The sequence below is a fragment of the Homo sapiens genome, chromosome 1, assembly GCF_000001405.40.
Source record: "Homo sapiens chromosome 1, GRCh38.p14 Primary Assembly".
In the NCBI taxonomy this organism is placed as follows: domain Eukaryota; kingdom Metazoa; phylum Chordata; class Mammalia; order Primates; family Hominidae; genus Homo; species Homo sapiens.
The window spans coordinates 144,243,593-144,262,516 of NC_000001.11; the positions used below are offsets into that span (position 1 = coordinate 144,243,593).

At 46.8% G+C, this 18,924-nt stretch overlaps 1 long non-coding RNA gene across 7 annotated transcripts in view, besides 1 other annotated feature; it reads right to left on the minus strand.

The window, feature by feature from the left end:
- Positions 1-6,705, minus strand: part of LINC02802 (long intergenic non-protein coding RNA 2802) — a 42,825-nt gene extending 36,120 nt beyond the window's left edge. For 4 of the 7 annotated variants that reach the window (NR_199614.1, NR_199617.1, NR_199618.1 and 1 more), the window contains exons 1-2: positions 6,633-6,705; positions 2,094-2,228 (exon numbers count right to left, since the gene is read on the minus strand). This is a non-coding gene — a long non-coding RNA (long intergenic non-protein coding RNA 2802). Of the gene's footprint in view, positions 1-1,645; positions 1,724-2,093; positions 2,229-6,632 lie in introns of all 7 variants that reach the window. The other 3 variants (NR_199615.1, NR_199616.1, NR_199619.1) reach the window with 1 other exon arrangement.
- Positions 4,635-4,929: a silencer, noted in NCBI's record as "tiled region #154 duplicate 2; K562 Repressive non-DNase unmatched - State 20:ReprD". NCBI's record gives its function as "represses a minimal TATA promoter and a strong SV40 promoter by Sharpr-MPRA in K562 cells {active_cell/tissue: K562}" and the evidence as "EXISTENCE:reporter gene assay evidence [ECO:0000049][PMID:27701403]".
- Positions 6,706-18,924: the final 12,219 nt, after the last annotated feature.

Sequence of the window (18,924 nt, forward strand, 5' to 3'; positions counted from 1 at the left end):
ATATTCATTTGAAAGCAAGTTAGTAAATATGTATCCTGAAAAGATAGTTTAGAAAAGAAACTTACAGGCCATGACCAGAGTGATTATAAAACATTCTCTTAACAGTTAGCAGGTGGAATAAAAAGTGTATTCTTTAAAATGATTTCATTACTAGTAAATAGTTCTATAAGGAAAAGTAGGGGGAAAAAGGCAAAGAAATATGAAACTAAGTCAATGAAAAGCAAATAGGCTATGATCACACATCTAAAGGCCATGAACATGGCAAAGAGTATTTTAAAGAATCTAAAAAGTGTACTTTGAATTTTAAAGTATTTTAAGAGATTAATTTTATAAAAGGAAAAACAGTGTTATCACGCAGAAGGACCATATTTAGTATAATCAAAAGTTTAAGAAATTGGCCAGGAGTGGTGGCTCACACCAGTAATATCAGCATTTTGGGAGGCCGAGGCGGGCGGATCGGATCACCTGAGGTCAGGAGTTCAAGATCAGCCTCGCTGACATGGCAAAACACCACCTCTGCTAAAAGCACAAAAATTAGCCAGGTGTGGTGATGCACACGGGTAATCACAGCTTCTTGGGAGGCTGAGGCATGAGAATTGCTTGAATCTGGGAGGCAGAGGTTGCAGTGAGCCAATATCATGTCACTGCACTCCCGCCTGGGCAATAGAGCAAGATTCTGTCTCAATCAAAAAAAAAAAAAAGAGTTTAAGAAATTAAGGAAAGCTGAGTGTAATGAAACCTTTTCAAGGGTAGTAGTGGTATAGCTCAAACCTGGTTTGAATTCCAGCTTTGTCACTTACTGGGTAAGTAAGTAGCAGCCTTAAGCCCAACTGGTGTTTGCTATTTGCACGTATTTTCATAAATAAAAGTGGTCTGTAATGTTTTCACAGTGTTGTCAAACTTCAAGATTATTAAAACTATTAATATCCTGTTTAATGTTTAAGAATAAATAACTATTTGATATCTTTTAACTACTGTCCTATCACTGACTTTTAAGACTCTTACTGACAATTTTGTGATTTTTTCATGTAATCATCCTTTATATCTTACTTAGCAAGTTCTCTATTAGACATATGTCTGCTGAATGAAACTTAATTACAGATATTTTTGAACATTTATTAAATTTAAATTATATTTGTACTTGTAAGAAATATTTAAACAATGCTTTGTTTTTCTAAAATAAAAGAAAACCAATAGCACAAACCTTCATTTTCTAAGTGTGTCAAGTTGTTTTGTTTTTTTTATTTGCTTGTGTGTTTGTTTTTTGAGACTGAGTCTCCCTCTGTCGCCAGGCTGGAGTGCAGGGTGCGAGCTCGGCTCACTGCAACCTCCAACTTGCTGGTTCAAGTGATTCTCCTGCCTCAGCCTCCCAAGTAGCTGGAATTACAGGCATGTGCCCCTGCGCTCGGCTAATTTTTTTTTTTTTTTTTTTTTGTATTTTTAGTATAGACCAAGTTTCACCACGTTGGCCAGGATGGTCTCCTCCTGACCTCGTGATCCACCCACCTCGGCCTCCCAAAGTGCTGGGATTACAGGTGTGAGCCACTGTGCCTGGCCTATTTTAACTGTTTTATGTCTTCTGGTTTCGTGTGACAATGAAATAAGTTAATATTTCCTGCCTGCACCAACCACATTTAGGCTCTACCTTAATTGTTGATGAGGTCTTGGAGCCTCCCTTCTGCTCCCAGAGGCTTTTCTTGCTCATGTCTCCAGCCACAATATCCTGGGGGCAGCAGAAGGGTATGTCACAAGGGCAGACCCCTGGATCTTGGGGAGTAGAAGCCCTGGGCCCTTCTCTCCTGCCTTGCCTTACCTGGCCAGGGGGCCTGGGATCTGCCTACCAAAACTTTTTCTGTGCGATCCCAGTGGAAGAAGCAGGGAAAGGAATAAAGGTGCCATCCACCTCCACTCGGACAACACAGCCTTCTACACCAGCAAGGGTGAACCCAACCCTACTGCAATACCTCAGGGTTCTGTCTGCCCACATTCATCCTGGACAGTCCCACGCTTGTCTTAACAAGGAAACCTGGCCTGCTACTAAACTCCCCAGTGCTGGCTCTGCAGCCCAGCCTTGCCCCTGGAGGGGACCTTACCTTGCAGGACGGAGTCTTGGCCGCAGACTGAGCCTATACCTCACCCGTCTCCCACCAACTCTTGGTACTGGATGCAGCCATGCTGGGCAGCTCTATGGAGGCCTGGCGGGCTAGCTTGGGGGTCTGGCCAGCAGTCTGCAGAGGAGGAAAAGCATCAGGATTACCTTAGTGGACAGCCACCGTGGTCACATCAGAGGGTCACACTGGGCAACCCTCTGCTTTGTGTTTGTGTTTTCCCTGGGAGCGATTTCCCAATGCAGCCCTAGAGTGGGGATCACTGGAAAGATGTGCCTTCCTCCATTCAATGCAATTGTGAGACACCTCCCTTTCCTGAAGAGCATCAGGGAGATGATGGCGCACAAGACAGATGTGGGTCTGCCTCCATGCTGCTCATGGGGTAGGGCTGGGGGACCATGGGATGGATGGAGGGACATTGAATGGATGGAGGGACAGTGGTTAAATTGCAGAGTATTGGTTGGATGGAGGAGCATTGATTAGATGGAGGACTATTGGTTGTATAGAAAGGTGTTGATGAAGGAATATTGATTGGATGGAGGAGTACTGATTATATGAGGGAGTATTTGTTAGATGGAGGGGCACTGATTGAATGCAGTAGTAGCCACCTGGCTGGGGGCTGCTGGGCCTCGTTCCACGTGGGGAGGCAGAGCCTGGGGTGCAGGGGCCCTCATGCTCACTCACGCCCCCACTCACGACCCAGCCCCTCCAAATGGAGGGCGGCGCAGAGCTGGGGCAGAGTATTGAGGAGGTGGAGGGTTTCCATGGAGGAGAAGCCTGGCCATGTTGCTCCCCATGTTCCCATGTCCCAGCCCCTCCATGTGAGCAAGGTCTCAGCTGGGGTGTGTGTCCTTGGGCCTGGGGCATGAGATGGAGCCCAAGCTCCTCCTTGGACCTGGGCTTCCAATGGGTCCAGGGCCCTCACTCCAGCTCCACAGACCCCCTCCACCAAGCCATAGGGGAGGCGTGGCTTGGAAGCACACATTGGCACAGAGACCCCAGAAGCCCGTGTGCACACGTTTCCTTAGGTCCACCCCTAAGGGCAACGAGTCCGGGCCCCAACAGCCCCATAAAGGCCCTCACTCTGCTCACAGCTCATGCCCAACACATGGAGTGCGGCCGGGCGCGGGACTCCCTAGGCCTGGGGCACATGCAGGTGCACACCCAACTCACACACATTCTCCACGAGCCCACGCTCCGGCCACACAGGCACACATGCCCGCACCCCATGCACATACAAATATGCACGTGCTCACACACGGGAACCCTTGACATCCACGTGCATGTGCAGACAAGCTTGGGAACAAGGGGACCACGTCCCCCTCCAGGGATCCCTTCAGGGTGCTGCAGCCTCACTTTAGTGAGGCAAACATTGACTGTTTGCCTTGCCATAGCCCTGACAACGGCGGTGCCGGCCCTGGCACGAGGCCCAGGTGTGTACTCTGGGAACATCATCCATGCAGAGCTGGGCCCCTGGAGGATCACTCTGACTGAGCTCTCCCTGGCTAGGGGCCTGGGGGACAGAGTGGGGATGCAGAGTAAGCATCTCCTGGTGTCTCCCCTAAAACCCAGTGCTGGGGAGAAGCCCCGCCAGCCCCTGGCCTCTGACCCAGCAGAGCTGAGGACGTGGAGGCCTCTGGGCCCCTTCTCCGTCTCCTCCCTTTCCCCTACCCCAGGATATGAGTCATGCGGGCCCCCTCCCCATGACCTCACCGCATCACTATTCCACAGCCGGGCTCCGTTCTGGGAACTGAAAGGGGGGCAGCTCTCCTGGGGTGGGGTGGGGGCCTCTGGCCTGGGAAAGGCGCCCCTCGGTCAGCGGCCCAGGCCCCTTGGCATACACCACGGAGCTGTCAGGACTCTGGGATGGCCGACCCCGCCCGTGGCCCTGGCTCAGCCCCGTGCAGCTGCGAGGGATTTGGTGTTCCTGCGCAAATGCAGTTAGGCCATTTCCTATGTCTGTTCCGGCTCCGAAGTCCAAGGTTCAGCCCAAGCGGCCAGGCGGTGGGGGGGGGGCTCCATCCACCTCCCACCCCAGCACACCCCCCCCACCCTCACAGTCCCAGGCTCCACTTCGGGGCCCGGCCCCCAGCCAGGGACACCAGTATGCACAGAACCCTGAAGGATGCCTCGTTCTGAGTGGAGCTCCCCAAGCTCAGGTCTGTTCCTGTCGGCCTCGTCCACTGCCAACCACCCCCAACTCGGGACACTGGCCCTTCTTCTCCTTCCTCCACAGACCTCCCCACCTCTACCTCCCAGTCCCCACTGAGGGCCTGACAATGCCCATCTTCGGCCCAGCACTCCCAGCTACCCACTGCCGTCCTTCCCCTGCCTGGAAGTGCAGACACTTCCAGAATGGGTGTCCGGCTCGGTCCCCGTCCTGACTCTGCTCCCTACAGGCAGCTCCTGTGGCTGCCCCGCCCAGCTGTCCTGAGCCCAGAGGTCGGCTGGAGAGGGTCAGTCCTCTCTGGGGTCCTGGGGAGTCAGGAGGCTCTGGTGAAGAGCAAGGGCTGCAGGGAGGATGTCGAGGGGAGGAGGAGCTTCTCCTCCAGGCCTGACCACAGGTCTCCTGGACACCACAGGGAGCTGGCGGGAGGACTGGGGAGTTGGGCTGGGCCTTCCACCAGGGTGGTTCAGGACTCCCTGCACAGCACTGAGGTCTCTGGTCCCCTCATTAGCCCAGCCTCCCGTGGGATCATAGACTTGACCCCTCAAGTCACTGCAGAGCCCAAGAGTGGAGAAACACAGCACCGTGTGCCGGGAAAAGGTGCCCACAGGGGCCCTTCATGGCTGAGGCTTCCAGAGGGTAGTGGGACGGCAACCCCGCTCCCCACCAGCCGCCCACCACAGCGTTCATGATACAGCTTCGGAGTGTGGGTCGGGGTCTATCTGGGAAACCAGGGCAAAGGCGGTGGCAGCTGGCAGCACCCACACCCACAGCTGGGGCACTGCTCACATGAGCCCCCATCAGCAGGCCCCTTGGTTGTGCCACAGGCAGGGGTCCTGCCCCAGGGAGGGGGTAGTCCGGGGGGGCTCGAGGGTGTGGCACAGGCCAGCTGTCACTCCTCCCTGGAGAGGCAGCTGGGGACGCAGCTGGGAGGGGAGCCAGGAGCAGAGACAGCCCGGGGCCAGCAGGTGGGTGACAGGTGGGGCAGCGGGAGGGGCACGCGCTGTCCGCCTGGGGCTGGGGTGTAGAGACGGGAACCTGCCCCCCAATGCCTGGTGCTGGCCCAGCCTCCCCCCGGGGTCTCTAGCACCTTCCCAGTTGTGTCTGCACCCTCCTGGGCATGGCGGGGGAGGGTGGGGGTCAACCCCTTTCCTTGTAGTCCCGTGCCAGTGGGCAAGGGAGACGCCCCAGTGAGCAGGAGCCTAGCCTCTCTGCCTGGGGAGGCCAGGTGATGAGCCACCCGGAGTGGGAGGGGGCCTTGAACTTGGGTCTGAAAGATGAGCAGGGGTTTGCTGGGCCGGGTACAGGCAAGAGCTAATGCAGGAAGGCAGAGAGCAGGAGCGCTTAGAGGGAGTGGCTCTGTGCAGCCGGAGTCAGATGGGTGACCCTCACTCAGGAGGAAGCACTGGGACCCTCTCTCCTCACGCTGGGTCCCCCGCCTCCCTCTAGGATCCCCACACCCAGGTCCTTCTGGGCCTCTGCCACACAGATCAGGTCTGGAAGGCTCCCTGGAGGAGGCGGTGCCTAGACTTGGACATAGGCCTGCAGAGCTGGTTTCCCTCACAACCCTGGGAAGACAGAACTCCTCAGCGGGTTGATGTGGAGGAGGGCGGAGCCTCCCTCCAAGGCACCAGTCCAGTGCTGGGGGCGACACAGAGAGCCAGAAGCTGGCGGGGGCGGGAGGCTCTGCCCCCCAAGGGCTTTACATGCCGAAGCCCCATGGCCGAGCTGGGACCCAGGGTCAGCCCAGGCAGGCCGCGAGAAAGGAGACTGTGGGCCCCACCCCATCACACAGGGAGGAGGTGCTGTGCCCGCTGGGGGGGCAGCTGCCCCTCTCTGGGCCCTTTGGGTGGGAAGAGGCTTGGTGAGGTAGAAAGCCCAGCCCCAGCCAGCAGCGTTGCCTTCTCACAGTGGCAGCCCTTTGTAACCCCGGGGGGTCCCTGCAGGGCCTCTCCCTGTTTTCTCACCATGGGGCAGCATTTGGGGGTCTCTTGAGGGACCCCCTAGATGCTTCTGCTCAGAGCCCCCAAAGCCAAGGAGCCTCCACTCCTCCGTCTGCAGCCTCCCCTGCCGGTTCTTGCTACCCAGGGTTCAGTGGCCTGGGGGCTGACGGAGGGGGTCGCCTCTGCCAAGGCCCCTCCCGGCGCCTCCCTGGCTCATCCAGCCCACCTTCCTCCCACGCTGGCTCACGCAAAGTGTTCTGGTCACCAGGAGCCCTTCCTGACCAGCCCCGGCCCCTTCTTGGCCTTCGCCCCACCTGGCCTCCCCTGGATCCCTGACCTGGGTGCCGGGCCTGCTGGGTCCAGAGCCCACCCCGCCCTGAACAACCCCGAGCCTCAGCCACCCTCAATTCTTACCCTTTCACAGCTGGGGAGTGGAGTCTGGGCCTGAGGTCTCCTGTGCGCCTCTGGGCGCCTGCGCCCGCGCTGTGCCTTTGCGAGGGCGGAGCTGCGTTGTGCTCAGCACAGACTCGGAGAGCATCGCGAGGGCGGAGCTGAGTTCTCCTGTGCACAGACTTCGGAGATACAGCGAAGGCGGAGCAGTGTTCTCCTTGGCACAGACCCGGGCGGGCCGGGGGCACCGGGAGGGCGGAGCTGCGTTCTGCTCAGCACAGACCCGGGGGACACCGCGAAGGCAGAGCAGCGTTCTCCTCAGCACGGACCTTGGGGGCACTGCCTCGCTTTGGGACAACTCGGGGCCGCATCGACGGTGAATAAAATCCTTCCTGTTTGCAGCCCTGAATAATCAGGGTCAGAAACCAGATAGAAGGGTTCAGTGTGGAAAACGGGAAACCAAAAGCCCCTCTGAATCCTGCCCACCGAGGTTCTCCCCAGCCAAGGTGAGGCGGCCGCAGTGCGAGATCCACACCGCAGCCTCGGAAGACAAATGCAGCATTCCTAATGCAGACATGGCACTCAAAAGATGACACCCCCCTTGCTCATGTAACAAGCACCTGTAGTGCTAATGCACTGCCTCGACACAAAAACATTAATATAAGATCCACAATCCCCTCGCTGCCGTGCAGTCCTAAGACAGCGATCATAATAATCAACATTGACATAGTCAATACAAACGTAGTAACGAACCTAGGCTTAAGGTTGGTGTTAGGGGTTAAGTTTAGGGTTAGGGGTTGGAGATAGGGGTTGGGGTCAGAGTTAGGGGTTAGGAGTCAACATTTAGAGTTAGGGGTTAAGAGAGGTTGGGGGTTAGGGATTAGGGGTTAGGGTTGGGTTAGGGGGAGGGGGAGAGTTGTGGTTAGGGGTTAGGGTTAGGGATTAGGGTTAAGGTTAGGGGTCAGGGTCAGGGGTCCCACTCTGTTGGCTGTCTATTTACTCTACTGACTGTTCCCTTTGCCATGCAAAAGCTATTTAGTTTAATTAAGTCCCAGCTATTTATCTTTGTTTTTATTGCATTTGCATTTGGGTTCTTGGTCATGAAATCCTTGCCTATGCCAATGTCTAGAAGGGTTTATCCAGTGTTATCTTCTAGAATTTTTATAGTTCAGGAATTAGGTTTAAGTTTTTAATCCATCTTGAGTAGATTTTTGTATAAGGTGAGAGATGAGAATCCAGTTTTATTCCCCTACATATGGCTCGCCAATTATCCCAACATCATATGTTGAAAAGGGTGTCCTTTCCCCACTTTATTTTTTGCTTACTTTGTCGAAGATCAGTCGGCTGTAAGTATTTGGGTTAATTTATGGGTTCTCTCTTCTGTTACATTAGTCTATGTGCGTATTTTTAAACCAGTACCATGCTGTTTTGGTAGCTATGGCCTTATTGTACAGTTTGAAATCAAGTACTGTGATGCCTCCAGGTTTGTTCTTTTTGCTTAGCCTTGGTTGGGCTACATGGCTCTCTTTTGGTTCCATATTAATTTTAGAATTGTTTTTGTAATTCTGTGAAGAATGATGGTGGTATTCAGATGGGGATTGCATTGAATTTGTAGATTGCCTTTAACAGAATGGTAATTTTCACAATATTGGTTCTACCCATCCACGAGCATGGGGATGCGTTTCCATCTGTTTGTGTCATCTATGATTTCTTTTCTTTCTTTCTTTTTTTTTTTTTTTCTTCAGAGGGAGTTTTGCTCTTGTCGCTGAGGTGGGAGTGCAATGGTGTGATCTCGGCTCACTACAACTTCTGCCTCCCAGGTTCAAGCGATTCTCCTGCCTCAGCTTCCCGAGTAGCTGGGATTATACGCATGTGCCAACATGCTTGGCTCCAACTATGATTTCTTTCAGCAGTGTTTTGTAATTTTCATCGTAGAGGTCTTTTGATTCCTTTGCTAGGTATATTCCTAAGTTTTTTGTTTGTTTGTTTGTTTGTTTGTTTTTGCAGCTATTGTAAAAGGGGTTGAGTTCTTGATGTGATTCTCTGCTTGGTAGCTGTTGATGTATAGAAGAGCTACTGATTTGTGTACATTAATCTTGTATCTGGAAACTTGGCTGAATTCTTTTATCAGTTCTAGAAGCTTTCTAGAGGAGTCCATAGGGTTTTCAAGGCGAAAGATCATATCGTCAGCAACCAGTGATAGTTTGACTTCCTTTTTACCGATTTGGATTTCCTCTATTTCCTTCTTTTGTCTGATTGTTCTGGCAAGCACTTCCAGTACTATGTTGAAGAGGACTGGTGAGAGTAGGCTCCTCATCTTGTTCTAGTTCTCAGAGAGAATGCTTTCACCTTTTCCCCATTCAGTATTATGTTGGCTGTGGGTTTGTCATAGACGGCTTTTATTACATTAAGGTATGTCCCTTGTATGCCTATTTTGCTGAGAGCTTTAATCATAAAGCAATGCTAGATTTTGTTGAATGCTTTTTCTGCATCTGTTGATATAATCATTTGAGTTTTTTTTTAATTCTGTTTATTTGGTATATCACATTTATTGACTTGCATATGTTAAACCATTCCTGTATCACTGGTATGAAACCCACTTGATCATGGTGGATTATCTTTTTGATATGTTGTTGGATTCAGTTAGATAGTATTTTGTTAAGGATTTTGGCATCTGTGATCATCAAGGATATTGGTCTGTAGTTTTCTTTTTTGGTTATGTCCTTTCATGGTTTTGGTATTAGGGTGATGCTGGCTTCATAGAATGAATCAGGGAGGCTTTCTTCTTTCTCTGTCTTGTGGAATAGTGTGAAAGGATTGGTATCATTTCTTCTTTGAATGAAAGAAGACATTCTTTGAATGTCTGGTAGAATTCTGCTGTGAATCTGTCTGGTCCTCGGTTTTTTTGGTTGGTAATTTTAAAATTACAATTTCGATCTTGCTGCTTGCTTTATTGGTCTGCTTGAGGTATCTACTTCTTCCTGATTAAGCTAGGAGGGTTGTATTTTTCCAGGAATTTATCCAACTCTCCTAGGTTTTCTAGTTTATGTGCCAAAAGGTGTTCATAGTACCCTTGAATAATCTTTAATATTTCAGTAGTGTCAGTTGTAATATCCCCTGTTTCATTTCTTAGTGAGGTTATTTGGATTTTCTCTCTTCTTTTCTTGGTTAATCTTGCTAATGGTCTATCAGTTTTATTTATCTTTTCAAATAACCAACTTTTTGTTTTATTTATGTTTTGTATTTGTTGTTGTTGTTGTTGTTGTTGTGTCGATTTCATTTAGTTCTGCTCTGATCTTGGTTATTTCCTTTGTTTGCTGGGATTGGGTTTGGCTTGTTCCTGCTTCTCTAGTTCCCTGAGATGTGAACTTAGATTGTCTGTTTGTGCTCTTTCAGACTTTTTGACGTAGGTGTTTAGGGCTACAAACTTTCCTCTTCGCACTGCCTTTGCTGTATCCCAGAGGTCTTGATAGGTTGTGTCATCCAGTTCGAAGAAATTTTTTACATTTCCATCTTGATTTCATTTTTCACCCAATGCTCATTCAGGAGCAGGTTATTTAATTTCCATGTATTTGCATGGTTTTGAAGATTCCTTTTGGAGTTGATTTTCAGTTTTATTCCACTGTGATCTGAGAGAGTGCGTGATACAATTTCAATTTTCTTAAATTTATTGAGACTCGTTTTATGGCCTATCATATGGTCTATCTTGGAGAAAATTCCATGTGCTGTGGAATAGAATGTGTATTCTGTGATTGTTGATGAAATGTTCTGTATATATCTAAGTCCATTAGTTCCAAAGTATAGTTTAAATCCAGTGTTTCTTTGTTGACTTTCTGTCTTGATGACCTGTCTAGTGCTGTCAGTGGAGTATTGAAGTCCCCCACTATTATTGTGTTGCTGTCTATCTCATTTCTTATGTCTACTAGTAATTGTTTTATAAATTTGGGAGCTCCGGTGTTAGGTTCATGTATGTTTAGGATTGTCATATTTTTCTGTTGGATGAGACCTTTACCATTATATACTGTCTGTGTTTGTCTCTTTTAGCTACTGTTGCTTTAAAGTTTGTTTTGTCTCATATGAGAATAGCTACTGCTGCTCGCTTTTGGTGTCCATTTGCATGAAATGCCTGTTTCTACCACTTTCCTTAAGTTTATGTAAGTCATTATGTGTTAGGTGAGTCTCCTGAAGGCAGCAGATAGTTAGTTGGTGAGTTCTTATCCATTCTGTGGTTCTGTATCTTGTAAGTGGAGCATTTAAGCCATTTACAACCAACATTAGTATTAAAAAGTGAGGTACCATTGCTTTCATCATGCTCTTTGTTGCCTCTATACTTGTTTTTTTTTGTTGTTTTTGCTTTTTAACTTGTATTTTTGTTTTATAGCTCTTGTGTGATTTATGCTTTAATGAAGTTCTGTTTTGATGTGTTTCCAGAATTTGTTTCATGATTTAGAGCTCCTTTTAGCAGTTCTTACAGTGCTGGTTTGGTAACGGCAAATTCTGTCGGCATTTGTTTGTCTGAATATGACTGTATCTTTCCTTCATATATGATGTTTAGTTTTGCTGGATACAAAATTCTTGGCTGATAATTGTTTTGTTTGAGGAGGCTGAAGAAAGTGCCCCAATCCCATCTAGCTTGTAAAGTTTCTGCTGCAAAATCTGCTGTTAGTTTGATAGGTTTTCCTTTATAGGTTACCTAGTGCTTCTGTCTCACAGCCCTTAAGATTATTTCCTTTGTCTTAACTTTGGATAACCTAATGACAATGTGCCTAGGCTAAGATCTTTTTGTGATGAATTTCCCAGGTGTTATTAGTGCTCCTTGTATTTGGATGTCTAGGTCTCTCACAAGGCCACAGAAGTTTTCCTTGATTATTCCCCCAAATACATTTTCCTGGCTTTTAGAATTCACTTCTTCCTCAGGTACACCAATTAATCTTAGGTTTCATCGTTTAACAGAATGCCAGACTCCTTGGAGGCTTTGCTCATATTTTCTTGTTCTTTCTTCTTTGTCTTTATTGGATTGGGTTAAATCAAAGACCTTGTCTTCGAATTCTGAATTTCTTTCTTCTACTTGTTCAATTCTATTGCTGAGACTTTCCAGAGAATTTCACATTTCTAAAAATGCGTCCAAAGTTTCCTGATTTTTTATTATTATTATTATTTTTTATTTAAGCTATTTCCTTGACTGTTTCTCCCTTTACTTATTGTATCATTTTTTGGATTTTCTTGCATTGGGCTTCACCTTTCTCTGGCCCCTCCCTGATTAGCTTAATAACTAACCTGAATTCTTTTTCAGATAAATCAGTGATTTCTTCTTTGTTTGGATCCATTGGTGATGAACTGGTGTGATTATTTGGGGGTTGTTGAAGAGTCTTGTTTTGTCAGATTACCAGGGTTGGTTTCCTGGTTCCTTCTCATTTAGGTAGACTCTGTCAGAGGAAAGGTCTAGGGCTGAAGACTGTTGTTCAGACTCTTTTGTCACACAGAGTGTTCCCTTGATGTAGTACTCTCCCACTTTTCCTATGGGCATGGCTTCCTGTGAGCCAAAGTGCATTGATTGTTGTCTCTCCTCTGGGTCTAGCCACCCAGCAGGTCTACCTGGCTTTGGGCTGGTACTAGGGGTTGTCTGCATAGAGCCCTGTGATGTGAACCATCTATGGGTCTCTCAGCCATGGATACCGGCGCCTGTTCCAGTGGAGGTGGTGAAGGGTGCAATAGACTCTGTGAGGGTCCTTAGCTTTAGTGGTTTAATGCTCTATATTTGTGCTGGTTGGCCTCCTGCCAGGAGGTGTTGCTTTCCAGAAAGCATCAGCTGTAGTAGCATGGAGGAACTGGCAGCGGGCAGGGCCCTAGGACTCCCAAGATTATATGTCCTTTGTCTTCCACTACCAACTTAAACATTTGTGAGAATTTCAATATCAGAAATTTATGTGTAATCGAATTTATTCTGGTAGCCTAAATTCTGGTAGCTTATTTTCTTATATGCTTCAATCTTTATAATTTAGTTCTCACATGAGGGAGATCTAATATTGGAAATACTTTCAATCTGTATGTTTATGTATTTATTCTAGTTGTCCTGGCACAAGGTTATCAATGTTGCTGTGTGACCAGCCATTGGCTTTTCACATTTACAACTCCTCTGAATTTTTTCTTGCCTCATTTCTGGTGCTGGGAAATTCTGATATTTTCTCCTCATCTCCATTGTACATTTTAGGGATTCTTGAAACTTGTGATGCACAAACATCCACACCTTCCACATAAGTAAAATATTTTACTTAGATATTTTCTAGCAGACACTGAGTTCTCATGAGAAATCCTCAGTCTCTTTATTTGGAACACCCCACCCCAGTATTCCATATGGAGTAGTCATGTGTAGAATGTGATTACTTCATTAATATGTCGAAGTATGGGTACATTTTGAACACATTTGTGAACTTGTAATCCCTTTCTTGATGAATAGTACCTGCGGATGAGCAGAATTGATATTTTCTTTGGAGCAGTAAGTTAGCACTGGTAGAATCTGTTCTGTAATCCCAGGTCCCTGGGCTCCAGTGTCAATGCTTCCTCCTTAGATCCTCCCTGACCCTGTAAATTTACCTCAGTCTCTATTTCTTAATCCAATAGCTATTTCAATTGATCTTCAATTACTTTGCATGTGGCCAGATATTATTTATGGGTTATATTCTAATTCACATTTTTCTGATGTAATTTCAGAGAGCCTAGAAAATATAATAAACTCCTTCTGACAGGTACTTGAGCCTCAGTATTTAAACATGAACAAATGCAGCATCTATTCCCTATCATGAGCACTCTTAATGGCAGTTGAGTGTTTATATCAAAAAAAAGTCAGGAATCATAATCATTTAGAGATAAAACAGATCCCAGATCTGAAAAGTCAGCTAGCTTAGGAGTTTCAAGACTTTAGGATTTCACAAATCAATAAAATTAAAAAGAAAAAAATGTAAGGTTTAACATAGAGATATCACTTAAACAATGACTACTATTTTGATAAAAGGACATTCAACGGTAAAGGTGTGGGAAATATAACCTCAGAGATGAAAATGTAATAGCTTGGGCCAAGCTCACTAAGTGTCCTTATTTTTGTGTTTCCACCATGGATGGCTGACACTGTCACCTCTGGCATGAGTCCACATCAGCACCCTGGAAATGCCTCCTATAGGGTAATCCTGCAGAAGGCACTAGCACCCCCAGACTCGGGCAGACAGCTGGCTAGACAGTGCTGCTGGGAGAGTACTGCCTCTCAAAACCCGTCTCTCTGTACCAGCTGCCCAGTGTTTCTGTTTCTGCCTACTTGGAGGAACAAAAGCAATCCTGCTCCTCTCCCCAGAGACAGGTAATTATGCCGCATTTTCTTTCCTGTTTCTTACATGACAAGCACTCAAAACTTGTCACTCTTTTGGTTCTCTCCAGTGCCCTCCAAACAGTCCATGTTCAAGCCAAAGAGGAATCACTTCTGCTTACCATGTTAACTTTTAAAATAGTTAACTGCAGCCTGCATTATGAGGATAGCATGCCAGCATAAGGAAGTTAGCATCATCTAGAGTGACCACAGAAGCTGCATCTGTCCGTGTGACTGGACACTGTATATGTCCAGATCTCTGCAAGGAAGAGTCATGTCGTACTTTAGAGTATGACTGAGTCACACTCAGAGGGAAGTGATTCCCACAAGCAGCTCCCAGCCAGTAACTGAGCTTGGCATGGATACTGAGGCAGGCCCCTTCCTGGGAGAAATGGGACTCCAGAAGTCCTGGACCCTCTCTACTTCTTTTTATACCTGCTTACAATTTAGCCAATTCTTTTCTGAGCTCATCTCTTTCTTACAGTAGTGACCAAGGGATGTTACTAACGTTCAGTTTCCCCATCTTTTCACCTTAAGCTTCAAGTTCCTTCAGCACATCATCCGCCCTTCAAGTTATTCCTACAACAGCTTTACCAAATATTTCACCACTGCATAACATAGATTACCATCTTTCCAACCCTCAGTAACGGTTCTCTTGCTGACTGCCATCTGGCCCTAGAGCCACATATTTTAGGGTTTGTGTTTTGGCTGCTCCCCACTCCTGGTACCATAACACCATCTATCAAATCTACCTGTAGATCATGAAATTACATAGGGCTTCACCAAAACTGCTATGGAGGTGGGGAGAGGGACAATTGGAATGGAGCTCAGAAAGCTGCACTTGCAGAGTCATTTATGTAAGACTGTGAGTGTGCTGCCGGTCCACATCAGAGGATGGGGACTACCATGGTCTGAATGTCTGGGTCTCTCCAAATTTCATATGTGGAAACTTAATCAAGGTGATAGTTTTAAGAGGTGGGGCATTTAGGAGCTGATTAAGGCATTTGGACAGAGCCCTTCTGAATGGGATTAATGACCTTATAAAAGAAATGAAGATGAACAAATGACCCCTTCCACCACATGAGGACATAGCAAGAAGGTACCATCTTAAAGCAGAGAGCAAGCCCTCACCAAGACACTGAATATGCAGATGCCTTGATCTTAGACTTCCCAGCCTCTGAAACTGCAAAAAATAAATAAATAAATAAACTTCTATTGTTTATAAATTACCCAATCTAAGGTATTTTGTTTTAGCGGCTCAAAGGAACTAAGACAAAGGTCATGGAGACCATAGGGTGAGTCTCAAGACTTCCCCCAACTCTACTTGGCTGGTCTCCTGCTGGTATTTTCCATCTGTAGAGAGGAAAAAGAACTCCCATTTTACCTTGCTTACCTGCACTTATGAAAAGTCAAACTGAGTCATGTTGAGAGCCAGGGAACATAGGAGTCGGTTCTTCAGCAGGAGCACTCAGCTAGTTGAAGGCAATGTGGAGTGATGGGAAGAGAGCAGTGATGCAGTGATTCTGGCACCAACTCCTTTACTATGGCATCCATTGTACCAGCTGCCATACACCTGGCTACTTCTACACCTTATCTCTAATCACTCCAGAATACGTATTAGTTTCCCCATCTTCTAGAAAGGAAAACTCAGACCCAGAGACACTAAGCAAGTAGCTCAAGATCACACACGTTATCTGTGATTAAGCCTCAGTTAGAACTGGAGTCTTGGATTTCCACATTTATACCCTTTTCATGAAGCTACCTAACTTTGATCCTCAAGTTTTCCCATCTATAGCATGGGACTGCTGGACTAGAAATCTCTAAGTCCCCTTTACCTCTTGAATTCTGTGTCTCTAAGGATGAGAATAACAAAACTCCTTTGCCTCTAGCACTTTCCAACTCAAAGCCCTATCACTCTCATTACATCTAATCACTGCAGCCAGAAGCATTAAATAAAATGGAAGGACTGACATTGGGAGTGGGCGAGGCAGAGAAGTTGGGGGCGTGGAGAAACAGCTCTTTTTACATAATGATTGCTACTATGATTTGGTTATAAATAACCAGTGAAGACAATCAGGCTTTTCTGGCAGTCCCTAATTGTAGTGAATGTTGGAATACAGTGACCACCCAAATGCTCTAGACTGATTGGGAAGGTGCCACTTCTAAATCAGCTGGGCTAAGTGCATTGCATAAGCTGAGTATTTAGCTTAATGATTAGAGCCAGTTGACGAAACACAAGAATATGGAAGCCTCCTGCTACTTCTCAGAAGATAAGACAATGGCATTCCACCACCAGTGTTTACTGTGGTACCCAAAGGGAGCTCCAGTTACTTCCCTCTGTGCCTATAACCCTTGGATCACCTGGTTGCACCAGACCCATCCTGACTAAAATCCCTCCAAAGGACCAAAGAGGAGATACGGACAAAAATAAAAAATAAATCTCATCTGCTCTCTTTCCTAAGGACCCAGCAGCCTCTATCCATCCGTCGTTCATTCACTCATTCCACACACTTTCATCTAGCCCCTGCTGAATGCCAAGCACTGGGCTGGAACTCTGGGGACTGTGGAGGTGGAATAGGAGAATATGGGCTTTCTGTGAGCAGTGATTGCCTAAAATATATACATCAAGGTTGTAGGATCATGTGCACCACTGCACTCTAGCCGGGGTGACAGAGTGAGACCCTGTCTCAGAAAAATAAAAAAAAAATTGTAGGATCATGGAGAAAGTGTCTTAAGTGTTTGGTGCTGTGGACAGGCAACACAGGCAGAAACTGGTGGCTAGGGAATCAGAGAAGTTTTCAGGAGGGAGCATTTGACTTGGGCTTGAACTGAGCATCATAGGGCAATATAGAAACAAGTTTATGGATAATTCACTGAATTGGTGGCAGTTTATAACTTGAGTCTTCCTTCAGATGATTGAAGTTAGTAGCCCAGCTATGAAAGTCTAGGTTACAGATGTCTCAGCCACAGCTTGCATATATATGGATGAGGTTCATACATATGCAGACTTGGGCTCCTGCCAAGATATGAGAGTTTTGGTCAGTCTCTGTCTCAATTCTAATGTCTCTGCCTACATACCTGAGTCCAGAGTTGTCATGCAAAGAACAGAACCCTGGAACAATCACACAAGGATTTGGTACTAGGCTTAGCCATTTTCTAGCCATGGGGACAAAAGAAAATTACTGAACCTCTCTGAGTCCCAGTTTATTTGTCTATAAAATAAGGATAGTGATACTGGGGTTACAAGGAAATTGTGAGAATTAAAATAGTTCAGGAGAGGTTAAGTTGTCCTGGGGCCACCTTTGTCATTGCAGTGACCACACTCTGTAGTGAGGGCACCCTTGAGAGCAGACAGCAGAGCTGCTATGTGATTCATCTCTAGAATCCATGATTCTTGGAACACTTCCTGAGAGCTATTAGGCATTCAAGAAATGTTAATGGTAGATCATAGTATAATGGTAGATCATAGTATTGTGATAGATCATAGTATTGTATTATTGTTCAGCAAACATCTGTTTTCCCTCCTTTCAATGGAAGTGGTGTACCTCCCCACCCCACTGACATTGGGCTTAGCCATGTGACTTGCTTCAGCTAATGGAATGTGGGTGACTCAGTGAATGCCACATCCAAGCAGAGGTGTTAAATATTCCTGCATGGCCTCTGGTGATCCTGTCCTCCAGCATGAGATGAACATGCTTCAGATAGCTGCTGCTACTCCCCTGGATCCTCTTCTGAGAGCCAAGTGAAGCAAATAGGAACCCAATTCACCACCCAGATCCAGGCCCATCTGAATCTAGCCAGCCCAGAAGAGCCCTGTAGAACCACAGCTGACCTATGGAAATGAGAAGTAAATGTTTGTTGTTGTTAGCATTGAGATTTGGGGATTACTTTTTATGTGGCATCATCACAACAAAGCCTGACTAATATATTGTATAAAGTTAATTGAGTACTAACAACATGCCAGGTATTGTTCTAAGTCCTTTATATAAAGAATCCCATCTAATCGTTACAGCACTGCATAAGGAGGTATCATAAGTATCTCCATTCAGCTGATTAGAATTGAGGCATCTGGTCAATCCCCTTCATGTTATTCCTCCTCACTTCCTGCATCCGAATGAACCAAGCCTCCTGTGTTCATTAGAACCACAGACCAAGCCTGCTGGAGAAAGACAGGGCTATGAAGATGGGAATGAATTGGCAAACAGCTTTGGGATGACAATGTTAAGGCCAGGCAAATGCTCTCAGTAACCTCAAATGAGTGTTGATGTTCATGAAGCCTGCTCAAAAAAGACACAGAAATTGACGTCTTTTATCTGAGGACCCTTCCTTAGCCTCAGGACTTAAGGCTATGGGAGCATGAGCCACATAACCATGAGAGGCAGGGGGTTCAGTGAGAAGAATAAGCTCAAGAGTCTTACCTGTGGGTCAGAATCTCAGCTGTGCCACACATACTGTGTGATCTTGAGCAAATCACCAAACCTCTCTATTCCTCATTTTTGTCACCTGTAAAGTGGGATTATTACTTGTACCTACATCCTGGATTTGTTGGGACAGTAAATGAGTTAGTGTTCCCAAGGTGCTTAACACAGAGCCTTTGCATGCAGCAAGCACCCAGTCAATGCCCATGACCATGGCCCCCTGCTCATGCTGCTCTTTTGTTCCCCCTGAGGTCTTTTGGGGACAGAGAGTGTGAAAATGCCCTCTACCCACACAAGGAAACAGGACTCAGGGACAGAGGACCTGTGCCCTGACCAAGGCAATGCATCCCTCACCATATATGCAGTGGTGCATCCTTTCCTGTTGCCTTTTGGATCAGCAATTAAGGCTTTAGTCTTTTTTGTTGGTGTGCAAAGGTATTTTCTTAATGGCCCTGCAGCCCAGCCATCACAAAAATGCTTTCCAGCTCTCAGCGAGAACATTTCTGATGCATGCTGAATCCAGAATTCAAATGAAGCAAAA